This window comes from Homo sapiens, chromosome 9 (genome assembly GCF_000001405.40).
Source record: "Homo sapiens chromosome 9, GRCh38.p14 Primary Assembly".
NCBI lineage: Eukaryota > Metazoa > Chordata > Mammalia > Primates > Hominidae > Homo > Homo sapiens.
Window position 1 is genome coordinate 9,913,045 of NC_000009.12, and position 12,432 is coordinate 9,925,476.

The 12,432-nt window shown below is 34.9% G+C and overlaps 1 protein-coding gene across 38 annotated transcripts in view, besides 1 other annotated feature; it reads right to left on the reverse strand.

Annotated features, from left to right (window-relative positions):
• The window catches only part of PTPRD (protein tyrosine phosphatase receptor type D), a 2,298,757-nt gene that overhangs the window by 1,598,799 nt on the left and 687,526 nt on the right, over positions 1 to 12,432 (reverse strand). The window lies entirely within an intron of this gene.
• Positions 1,547 to 2,046: an enhancer, noted in NCBI's record as "H3K4me1 hESC enhancer chr9:9914591-9915090 (GRCh37/hg19 assembly coordinates)". NCBI's record gives its function as "activates a minimal SCP1, AML or CMV promoter by ChIP-STARR-seq in primed H9 embryonic stem cells {active_cell/tissue: H9 hESC(primed)}" and the evidence as "EXISTENCE:reporter gene assay evidence [ECO:0000049][PMID:30033119]".

Below are 12,432 nucleotides of genomic sequence, written 5' to 3' on the forward strand. Positions count from 1 at the left end.
CATTTTATAAGATCATACAAATATGTGATCGATCATAAATTTCCTGGGATATCAACAGAAAGTGTGACAATATAGCTCCAATAAAAAATAATTCCAAATTACATTCTAATTGCTATATAAATTCATTTTTATGAAAAAAGAAAAGTATGTTATGCATAGTATTTCACTGTTAATGTGGTTAGCTACAGAGCAACACTGAATATAAATTTCCTTAATCTTTGATAAGGAGTCTTGATATTAGTCAACAGTGATAATGAATCTATTCAGCATCAGTATTTCCCAAAGTAAAAGAATAGTGATAAATACATGCTATATAAATTGCAGGAGGCATAAAAGTGCTTTAAGATCAAATAGGGAAAAAAAAACAAAACAGAGTGATCTCATCAAGATGGCTGACTACAGATGCCTAGCATTCATCTCTCCCAGAAGAAAGGACCAAGTTAATGAATAAACAGCTAAGATTGGACTGGAGTGTCGAAGGGAAAGGGGAGTGGAGATGCACCAGTAGTGACTGGAAATTCAGGAGGGCAGCACAGAGGCACCCAGAATCTGCAGACCCATCTCCCCAACCCTGATCTAATTTGCTGAGTCAGGAGGGACTTCCTATTGCCAGGAAAAGGTAAGCAGAAGAACCCCACAAGCCCCATTGCCTATGTAAACATCTACAGTCTCATACAACAGGAGAACTTCACAGTCCACACAAACCCTGAAACCAGTTTAGAGAATTGCTGGGAATTCATTACCCTGGATTAGGAGCACAAGGTGTGTACTCTCTCCCTCCACCTCCCACCTCCCATTCCCTGCCATTAGCCAAGCTGCCACAGCATGTTGCCATCTCAAGATCAGAGCCACCTCTGGAATATGCATTGTTCTGGGGGCCAACACAGGGCACCATCTTCATTATGACAAGCCGACAATAGTGACTGAATGCTACAACCCCAGCTATGTGGACTCTGGGCCTAGGATCAGCTGTGATTCTGGTCCTGTACAGTACAGAAACCAGTATTTGGTACCACACTTCTAGCCAGATAAATAATCTTACAGTCCTGCCTTGGGCAAACCCACCCTTGAACTAGCCAAATGCTGCACTCCTTTCCCAATGCAGGAGAGAACTCCGAGGTTCTGAGCAGCTAATACACCCCCAGACTAGTGGAGCAGCTATGTTCCTGCATTCAGGGTCTGAGAAACAGCCCCACAGCAACCCCTGCTACTCCAGACATGTCTCTGGCTTGCTTAACAGCCCTGTGCCTGCAGTCAGCGTTTGAGAAACAGTCCCAAAGGCTTCCCCTAGTGGGCACACCCATGGGCCAGGAAAACAGCAAAGAGTATATGTCTTGGGCCTTGAGCTTCAGGTGTCCACCCCTAGTGGACATGCTGAGTAGCCGTGTAGCCACGTCAGGGGCCTAAGAAATAACCCTGTGCCTGCACTTAGCAGACACAATCAGAGGCCAGCCAAACAGCCTTTCTCTCACATTCTAGGCCTGACTTACAGCCTTGCAGATTGCCCTTAGAAGACACACAGCCAGGCTGGCTGAACAGCTGAGGGCCTGCGTTCCGAGTACGTGTTTACCGCGCCTGTGTTCTGGCACTGTAGGCAACCCACAGCAAACATGCACCCAGACCAGCCAAGAGAGCATGTGATTGTATTCTGAGCTTGAAAAACATCCCCATACATAAGCTGACTACCAGCAGACACACTCCCGGGCCAGCTGAGCCTGCTTGTGCTCATATCTCAGGCCTGAGAAGTAGCCCTGTGGGTCACTTGGGCAAATATGCCCCCAAACTAGCTAGGAAACTGCTTCTATGTCATGGGCCTGCAAAACAGACCCACAGGCTGCCCTTGGAAGACATGCTTCCAGGCTGGCAGAAAAACTGCATGCCCATGCTCCTAGCCAGAGTAACATCCCTGTAGCCCCAAACCCAGTGAGCCAGACACCAAGTTGTTGGACTCACTGTGTGCACACATATGCCCCTGACCTGAAAAATAGCCCGGTGAGCCAACTTTCAGCAAAGCCTCGCCATTATCACCACAAACTCTCTTAGCATAGGCTACTGAGCAACTTGCAAATGCCTTTAGCATGGGTTAGAGCTGTAGAAACGACATGGAGACAACACAAATGTGTCTACCTAGAATGAAGGCCCACACACCCTACCAAACTGACAGCCCAAGACCCATTCGTATGAACATATCTTTCCATATGAAACTAACACCATAAAATTAAACTAGATTACTTTTCTACCAAATGCATGGAAATTAATGTAGGAACACATCAAACATAAAAAACAAAGGAAACATGACATCTCCAAAAAAAACTGATTATCTAGTAAACAGATACCAATCATAAGGAAATATATGAAATGCCAGAAAAAGAATTCAAAATAATAAATCTTAAGGAAACTGTGAGATATAAGAGAATACAGATAAACAATTCAAGAACATCAGGAAGACAACTCATGATTTGAATGAGAAATTAAATAAAGAGATAGATATCATTAAAAAAAGAACCAAACAGAAGTACTAAAGCTGAATAATTCAATTAATTTAAAAAAATACTATTGAGAACTTTAACAACAGGCTAGACCACCAAGCAGAAGAAACAAATTTCTGACCTTGAAAACAGATCTTTTTAAATGAACCAGGAAAAAAAAATAAATAAAAAAGAATGATGAAGAAAGCCTACAGGATTTATGGGAGATCATTAAGTGAACAAATATGTTATTATAAGCATTCAAGAAAAAAGGTGAGAAAATCATATTTAATGAAATGATAGCAGAAAACATCTTGTTTTGTTAGAGGGATGGACATCCAGATCCAGGAAGGTCAAAGAACTTCAGATTGATTCAGCCCAAACAGGTCTACTCCAAGGCGCATTATAGTCAAGTTGAAGAAAATCAAGGACAAATAATTCTAAAAGCTGGAAAAGAAAAACATTAAGTAACATATAAGGGAATTTCCACTAGATTAACAGCATAGTTTTCAGCAGAAACCTTAGAGGCAAGGAGAGAATGAGGCGATATATCCAAAGTACTAAAATTAAAAAAAAAAAAACAAAAAACTGTCAGCTACAAATACTATATTCAGCAAAACCATCTTTCAAAAATGGAGGACGAATGAAATGTTTCTCAGACAAGCAAAACTAAGGGAACTCATTACTACTAGCCAGTCTTACAAGAAATGTTCAAGAGAATTGTAGCTCTAGAAGTAAAAAGGTGGTAAATACCATCATGGAAACATACAAAACTCAAATTCACTGATACACACAGGAGAAAGAGAAAAGAATAAAACCATATCACTATAGAAAACCAACCAACCACAAATAATAAAAGAAAAAAGGAACAAAGGGTATATAAAACAACAAGAAATCAATCAAATGATAGGTGTACGTCCTCACCTATCAATAATAACTATGAATGTAAATAAACTAAATCCCCATTTAAAAGATATAAATTGGTTGAATAGATTTTTAAAATCCTCTCTCTATATATATATATACATGTATGTATACATATATACATATATGTTGCCTACAAGAACCTCATCTCACCTTTAAAGACACATATAGGGTGAAAGTTATAAAAAAAGATGTTCTGTGCAAACAGAAACCAAAAGCTAACAGTAGTTATAGTTAGATCAGACAAAACAGAAAAACAAAGAAACATCAGATTTAAACTTCACCATAGAACAAATGGATCTAATTTACAAAACATTTCATTCAACAGTTGGAGAATACACATTCTGCACATCAGCACATGGAACATTCTCCAGGATTGACATGTTAGGACACCAAACAAGTTTAAATATTTTTTAATCAAAATCATATCAAGTATCCCATTGATCACAATAGAATAAAATGATAACAAGAGGAACATTTGAAATAATACAAATTAATGGAAATTAAACAACATGTTCTCTAATAATGGGTGTAGGAAAAAGTTAAGAATGAAATTTAAAAATCTCTTGAAACAAATGAAAATGGAAACACAATGTACCAAAACCTATGGAATGCAGCAAAAGTAGTATTAAGAGGCAAGTATATATCAATAAATGTCTACATCAAAAAAAACTAGAAAAATTGTAAATAAACAATCTAACAATGAATGTCTAGAAAAGAACAAACTAAATCCAAAATTAGTAGCAAGGAAGAATAAAGATCAAGCAGAAGTAAACAAAATTGATACTAAAAAAATTTTTAAAAATCCACAAAACAAAAAGTTGGGTTTCTGAGAAGATGAAATTGACAAGCCATTAGCTAGACTGAAAAAAAAAAAAAAAAAAAAAGAGAGTAGACCTAAATAAAATCAGAAATAAAATCAAAGTCACAATGGAGATCACAGGAATACAAAACATTATTAGAGACCACCATGAACAACTACACTCCAATACATTTTAAAATCCAGAAAATTTCCTAAAAAAAAAAAAAAAAAAAATCCAGGACCAGATGTCTTTACCACTGAATTCTACCATATCTTTAGAGTTAACACCAATTCTTTTCAAGCTATTCCAAAAAAATGAAGCAGAAGGTATTCCTCCCAAATTATTTGTTGAGGTCAGCATAACCATAATATGAAAAGCAGACAAGGATATAAAAATAGCTAAACAGAAAACTGCAAGCCAATAGCCTGATGAACAGAGACACAAAAGTCTTAAACAAAATACTAACAAACCAAATCCAACAACACATCAAAAAGATAACACACCATGATTAAATGGGAGTTATCTCAGAAATGCAAGGATGGATTAACATGCAAATCAATAAATGTGATACATCACATTTGTAGAATGAAGGACAAAAGCCATTTATCAATACATACATTTGACACTAACATCCTTTAATGATTTAAACTCTAAATTAATTAGGTATAAAAGGAACATATCTCAGCATAATGGAGGTCATATATGACAAACCCAAAACATCTTACTGATCAGTGAAAAGCTGGTATCTTTTTCCCTAAGAACGAGAAAAGACAACTCTCACCTGTCTTATTACACATAGTATTCGAAGTCCTACCCAGAACAATTAGGCAAGAGAAAGAAAAGGAATACAAATTGGAAAGAAAGAAGTCAAATTATCTGTACCTAGATGACATGATTTTGTACATAGAAAAATCTAGAGAGTCTACCAAAAATCTCAGACTTGATAAATAAATTCAGCAAGGTTGCAGAATATAAAAATCAATATGAAAATTAAGTCACATTTCAATACAGGAAAAATGAACTAGCTGAAAAAGTAATCAAGAAAACTATCTCATTTACAATAGCTACAAGAAACTTATAAAATACCTAGGAATAAATTTAACCAAAGAGGTAAAAAAAAAAAAAAAAAAACTCCACAATGAAAACTACAAAACATTGATAAAAATAATTGAAGAAGATACAAATAAAAAGACACCCCATGCTCATGGATTAGAAGAATATTGTTAGAATCACAAAACTATCCAAAGCAATCTGATTCGATTAAATCTCTATCAAAATGTCAAGGATATTCTTCAAATAAATAGAAAAAAAATCATAAGATGTAAATGGAAGCACAAAATACTTCAAGTAGCCAAAGCCATCCTGAGACAAAACAGCAAAACTGAAGGCGTGACGCTACCAGACTTCAAAATACACTACAAAGCTGTAGTAACTGTAAAACAGCATAACACTGGCATAAAAACAGAAAGAGACCAATAGAACCAATAGAGAATGCAGAAATTAATCCACGTATCTATAGCCATCTGATTTTTGGCATGGGTATCGAGAATATTCACTGTTGAAAAGGTAGTATCTTTAATAAATGGTGCTAGGAGAACTGGATAGCCACCTGCAGAAGAATTAGACCCCTGCCTCCAACCCTATACAAACATCAATTCAAAATTAATCAATACCTAAATATACAGTACAGTCCTCAGAAAAATGGCATATAGTTACAGATCAATGAATGCCATTATTGTTTTTTATTCTAATTTTAATTAATCATACTAATCTTGATGTTGAGGAGATAGAATAACATCTGGCAGCCTTTTATTTGCTAATGTTAAACAACTAAAAATAGCTTTAAAAAAGTTAAAATATCCAAATGAATGACAATATTTGATTTATATAAAATGAATAAGTCATATTATTTAAATTTTAGGGTGTTTTTGCTCCTAATTTTTTGTTACTCTACTTTTCATACTGATTTAGCACCTCTTAAAAACATACCCTCTCTTCCTTCTAACTAGTTTCAGGACCCTATTACCTTGACCTCCAGTCATCTCTCTGAGTCAATTCCATTGAGCTGGGTGAATTGGTGGCTTGGCCCAAACTTCACCTCAACCCAGTCTCTCTTTGGGCAGGAATCAAAGTCCCCCCACAGGAAGGAATGTATCTTTCAACTCATGTGCCATTTTTGCAGAAGCTTTTCAGACACCTCCCTTACCAGTGAACTCAGTTTCCCACCCTTTAGATGGCTGTGGAGTCCTGCATGTGCCGCATTCGGATAATTATTCAAATGAAGTACACTTAAGAGCTTGCATTGTCTAAAGGCCCAATGATTCATGTAACTCCCCTATCAGCACAAATGAGAAGTTCCTGCCTGAATGCAGCAGATGGAAATGGAAATTACAGACTTTGGTAAGGCAGACTATATTGCAGCTTAATGATTTGCATTTTAAAAGTTGGGAGTTCTCATAAATACTAAAGAGAAAGAACAACGGGCTATATTAGGTAGTTTCAGGTGCTTGTATGACCTGGTGCTAACTATTTAACCTGCCTGAGTGAGCCTCAGTCTTCGTTACTGCAGCATTTGTAAGATATCAATGCCTGTTTGAATTCATGTCTTACTAAGCTGCTGCCAGGATTGAGTGACATGTGGATATAATAGGACTTCAGGAATTACAGTATTTCATAAATGCAGTAATAATCTGTTACATTTGTAACACCTATACGCTTTTCTGTTTCTATCTTCATATACACCTTGAAGTTTTTTTTCATCATAATCAAAGATCTTTTCTTGAGGTTACAATAAACGGGATTTAACCCATAAGCAGCAATGTTAGCAATTTTCAAATTTCTTAGACATGTTTTAAGTTTTACATTTAAATCAGTGACAAAATTGTTGTCAGTTTTGGTTTGTGTCTTCCAAAACAGTGTCTCAGGCACTTGCTCTTTGATGAGACACTGTGCAAACGTTGAAGGATATTAGAAAACAGAACAGTTTGTTTACCTCAGCTTTTTGTGGTCTGGATAATTTGCACACTGCTTTTCAATAAGCTGATTTGTCTTCTTGTTTACATAGGCTGTGCTATAGCCATTTAAAGTTCAAAATTACTGCTAAAAGGTAATTGATCCTCTACTTCAATATCCCTGCTGTTTCATGAGCTCTCTAACAATTCGAAGGAATCTATTTCTCACTGATGTTGAAAAACATAATAAGGTCACAGCAGGGAGGCTTTAGCTTCATTAAAGAACATTATTATAAAAATAAAATGATGGAGGGCAAATTGTTTTTGTCCTTGTGGTACTGTTTCTGCAGATCCACATTAATCTGAACGTTTAAAGCAACAATAAATTTGTTACGTCCTCTTTATCATTCACTTCACCATGGTAGCCCCTAGTGGTAGAAGGAGATGCCAATTGCTCACTGCTCAGGTTCCAGGGGATTTCTTCCTCAGTTGAATAAGAAGGAGTTAAGCCTCTTTAGAAAGGAGGGCTATAGCCTGTCGATAACTAAATTTATTCCTGCTTTTAACATATCAGAATTCTGATGTCCAGAAAATGTAGATGCCAGCATTATTTAAAAACTGAGTAGAGAAGTGAATAGAAATTTTGACCCACTCCGGCTTCCATCTATCATGGGAGCCTATAACGCAGGATGAACGAAGAAGGATTTAAGATAGAAGATCAGTGATTGCTCTATTAATCTAGTTTAACTGATACTAAAATCTGACAGAGCGAATTACAAGTTGCAGGCACTAAGGCTTATCAATTCATTACTACTTTCAAGGCTCTACCTTGCTTTCTTTTTGCCTTTAGCTCCTGGCAAAGGACAGCCTTTTACAGTTCAATTTCTCAGTTTATTTTTGACTGCTTTTAATTAAATTTGATGGCCTGCTTCTGCACCACTGAAGTTATTGGAGTTGCAAAGCACTTTGCTGTTATAATGATAGCTCCCTTGATGTCTGTTCATTATTAACTGCTTTTCAAAAGTGCTGCTTTCAACTCTCATTTTATAAATATTTAAATAATTGTGAATTTCTATAACATAAATGTCTGTGCACATAAGATAGGGTTTCTGTTTGCCTGTTTAATACATAGTAAAATAGAAATCTCTTTTTGTAAGGTTATATAATATTAATTAAGAATGTGTCCTTAATTCATTCCTAACATAAATTCTCACATGAATAGCAGTATCTCAAAATAATAATGATTTAAGAGCTATGACACTCACACATATAATTAATTCTAGTAAAATATCTTAGAATGATTTTTTTAATATATAGATTAAGAAAGTCCTGATTCTTTCTGGTCTTAAGATGAAATAGAGTATATTCAAGAGAACTTACAAATTACATAATAGTTTTACTGCTCAGGGGAAAAAAATGGCAGAGGATAAAATTAAAAGCCCTGATTTTTTTTTTTTTAAACAAAGACTGATGAATTAACAGTAGGTATCAATCTCTTTTCCTTCTCCAAGCTTCAGACAAATTATGGGAAAATAATTTTTAAAAAGCCAATTTATAGAAGTAAAAAAAAAAAAACTAAAGATAGTAGAAAAGACAATAGTGTAATTGAGAGCAGCTGATATTATGTGTCCCACACTGTTCTAATTCATTTAGCAACCATAACATTCCTATCATTACCTCCATTTTATAAATGAGGAAATGGTGAATCATTAAGCAATTTGCTGATTATCACATATTCAGTAAGTGGCAAAGCTAGTATTCAAGTCCAAGCAGTGTCGTTGTAAAGTCATACACTTAATCCCTGTGCCATAATTCAATAAATTGTGGAGGATGGGAAGCAGGTGGAGAAATGATTCATATAGCAGGGCTGAGAAAGTACTGCCTATATGCCCACAGTGTGGAGCCCCCACAAGAAGTTAGCAAATCACTCAGAGAAGCTGTGAGCAACTCACCACTTGGAAAAACTGAGTGCTTTAGAAGGCACGAATGAACTGCAGTTCTGAACAGAGAAAAATTCATCAAGTTCTAAGGTGGTTGCTCTCTCTTCCTCTACAGTGGGCAATTACCTCTTCATTCCCATCACCTCCCTTTCTCTCAATCCCTTGAATCCGAAGTATACTATTCTGTGAATAAATTAAACCTGTTAAATGTTAGATTTTGATCAGAGCTATTATTGGAAGTTCACATAATCAAGGGACCTGTAACCTTCTTTCCCTTTTTGGTTTCTAGAACACCAATTATATTACCCAAGCCCCCATTCTAAAATTCCCTTGTGAAATATGAATGAAGAGCCACAGATCATCAGCAATGGAAGCAAAATTTCAGCATGAGTAGTTGAGACCTACAGTAACAACTAAAAAGGACTGAAATAGAGATAATGTCTATAATCAAAGAACAGGGAAATATTACACATAACCAATGTTGGAGTGAGAAAACAGTATGTGTTGTACTAAATCAAAAAATGAATGCTATAAAAAATAACAAAAAAGTTATTGGAAAAGTATGAAAAATAAAATTTAAAAAACCAGTAGAACATAAGACAAACCAAAAACAAGAACATTCTATTAAAAACAGGGGGAATTTTATCTTTAAAAAATGGTATTGTCGTGAAAGGCAAGAAAAGCTGGAGAGGTTTTCCAGATTGAAGGGGACTGAAGAGATATGACAACTAATTGCAATACATGATTCTAGGTTGGACTCCATGCTGGAGGAAAATCATGCTATAAAGAATTGGCTCAATTGATGTAATATACTGCTAGTATTCTAATTCTATCAAAGTATTTTATCAATGTCACATTTACTGAATCTTACTACCATACTGTAGGTAAGTAAGACTATCTTTATCTTAGAAAACACACATTGAAATATTTACTGGTGAAAGACCATGTAACGTAAAATGACTAAGGAAAAAAAAAGGACTGTGTGTGTGGGGGGTGTGTGTGTGTGTGTGTGTGTGTGTATGTACAGAAAAAGGAAGCAAATAAGACAAATGTTAACTCTACAGATAATCTGGGTAAAAGATAGTGAGGTGTTGTATATTTTTACACCCTTTCTGTTAGTTTTTTTTTTCAAATAAAATATTGTAATGAATAGAAGAGTGGAAGATAAAAATCAAGAAAATCTATCAAAAGTTAAAAGAAAGACACAAAGAGATGGAAAACGACAAAAGACAGGAAGAGGAGAGCAATGCAGAAGGTCCAATGGCTGATTAATCATTAAAAAAATATTTGTGACAGTTGCAGTTGATAAGACTAAATTATCAATTAAACTATAGAAGAAAATTTCTGAGCACACACAAAAAAATCGATCTCCAAACGAAATCAGTTCCACACAAAGGTATATCAAGAATTTCAGAAATGCTTAAACGTTTCCTACAAAGAAAAAGCATACAACAAAACAATTTAAAAAGTAAAACAAGTCATCTACAAACAAAAAGGGAATCAGGCTGGCATCAAAGTGATCTTTTCATAATTGTGAGCAAGAATAATCTTCAACTTAAAATCTCAAGAAAATGCTCAATCAGATGGAAGGGTGGAGGAGGTAAGCTCATTGAAGAGAAGTACACATCTAAAATGTATACTTCTCATGGGCCGTATTTTTTAGAAAGATACTAGAAGTTGTACTTCTGCAAATATGAGGTATTGAAATCAAGGAGAATGAAGTGCGATCTAGGAACAAGAAGTCCAACAGAGAAAAACAAAGACAGGGAGTCTTAGAGAGCAACCAGTGAGAGGGGAGCAGAAGGATGAAAGGCTAGAGGAGTGAAATCTAAACATATGAAGGATGGAATTAAAATATTTTCATTATTTTGTATATTTGAAATTTGAAATCATCACTAACAACTTTATAAACTTCAGGAAAAATAAATATATTGTGCTAAAAATGTAAACCTAGAGAATAATATTTATGTAGTCATAATCATGTAAATAGGAAATAATGATTTCACCAGAAACAACACATTGAGAGAATAGTGGGAAAAGAGTCCTGTAATTGGTGCACCTGTCCTAATTCCTATGTAGGCATCATAATAGAAGTTATTAGGTAATGTTTAAAGTTGATAAATCAAGATAATAATACAAGCATATTAAATTAAAAACAATTAAGGTAGTTACCAAAAGGACCAGATACACGAGCTAAACATTGCTTTCTCTATTGAACAGGACTATAGCATAGAGAAGTGTCAAACAAGCTGCCATTATTCTGTTGCTGTTATTATAAGCCTCTTAATATAATACTATTTGATTACTAGATCATGAGCTCCTATTTATAAAAATAAAAGCAAATTTTAAAGTTATAACAACTCATGTTGCTACAAAAGCCCTAAAGTCATTTCAACAATACAGCACACTGATGACACTTTCCTTGCCCGAAACACTTTCCTTGCCTTTCCAGTACGCTTTCACTTTCCTTTCCTTGTTTAGAAACTTTTTAAAAGAAACATGGTCCTGTGTTACATGTAACATGCTTTTGAAATAAAAACCATCTCCTATCACAAGGAGTTTTTAAAAGAGCCTAGATGTTCTTATTGTCCTTCGTATCTCTAAAAATAATTGCTTTAAAAATTAGCTTATTCCCTTTGACAGATACTTGAAAGCTAAAGTTTTGTGGGATTCAGTACAAGGATAGGCATACCACATATCTCTACTTTTTATGAAATTTGTTGCTAGTAATGTTAGAATATGTTTGAATGAAGCACCTTCTGTCCTTGCTTTCAACTCCTAGCTAGAGTGCATGAAATACTAATCATCTCTTGTGTTAGTAATAGAATTTGTAAATTTCCACAAATAAAATATGTTTACTATAATTTCTAAATAGTCAATACCGAGTAGCAATACCTTTGACTTTAGCAGCTGGTATATAATTGTCTATATTACAGTGTTTATATTATAACTAGTATATATTACAGATAGTGTTATTCAACTATTATAGTAGGTTGTAGCAGTACAAAATTAAATTATCACAAATCTACAATTTGCTCACAAATTTTTAGTGGCAATGATCACTTATACTACTGTAGAGAGGCAGTAGTTGCCCATGTGCTGCCTAAAATGTGAGAAAGTTCTTATTACAGGGTAGGATAAAATTGTTGCCTTACTAAACAGAAATTCACATATTTCCCTCTCCAGAAAAACAAAAATGTGTATATTTAATATAGTCAAAGTTGAGTTTTTAAGGTAATATGTCATCTCTAACAGGAGGGTGACTGCTGAATGTTTGGTATTTAAGGTCTTACATACAGGACCTTGAAGGAGGTTCTATATTATATAAATAATCTTTGAAGAGTGA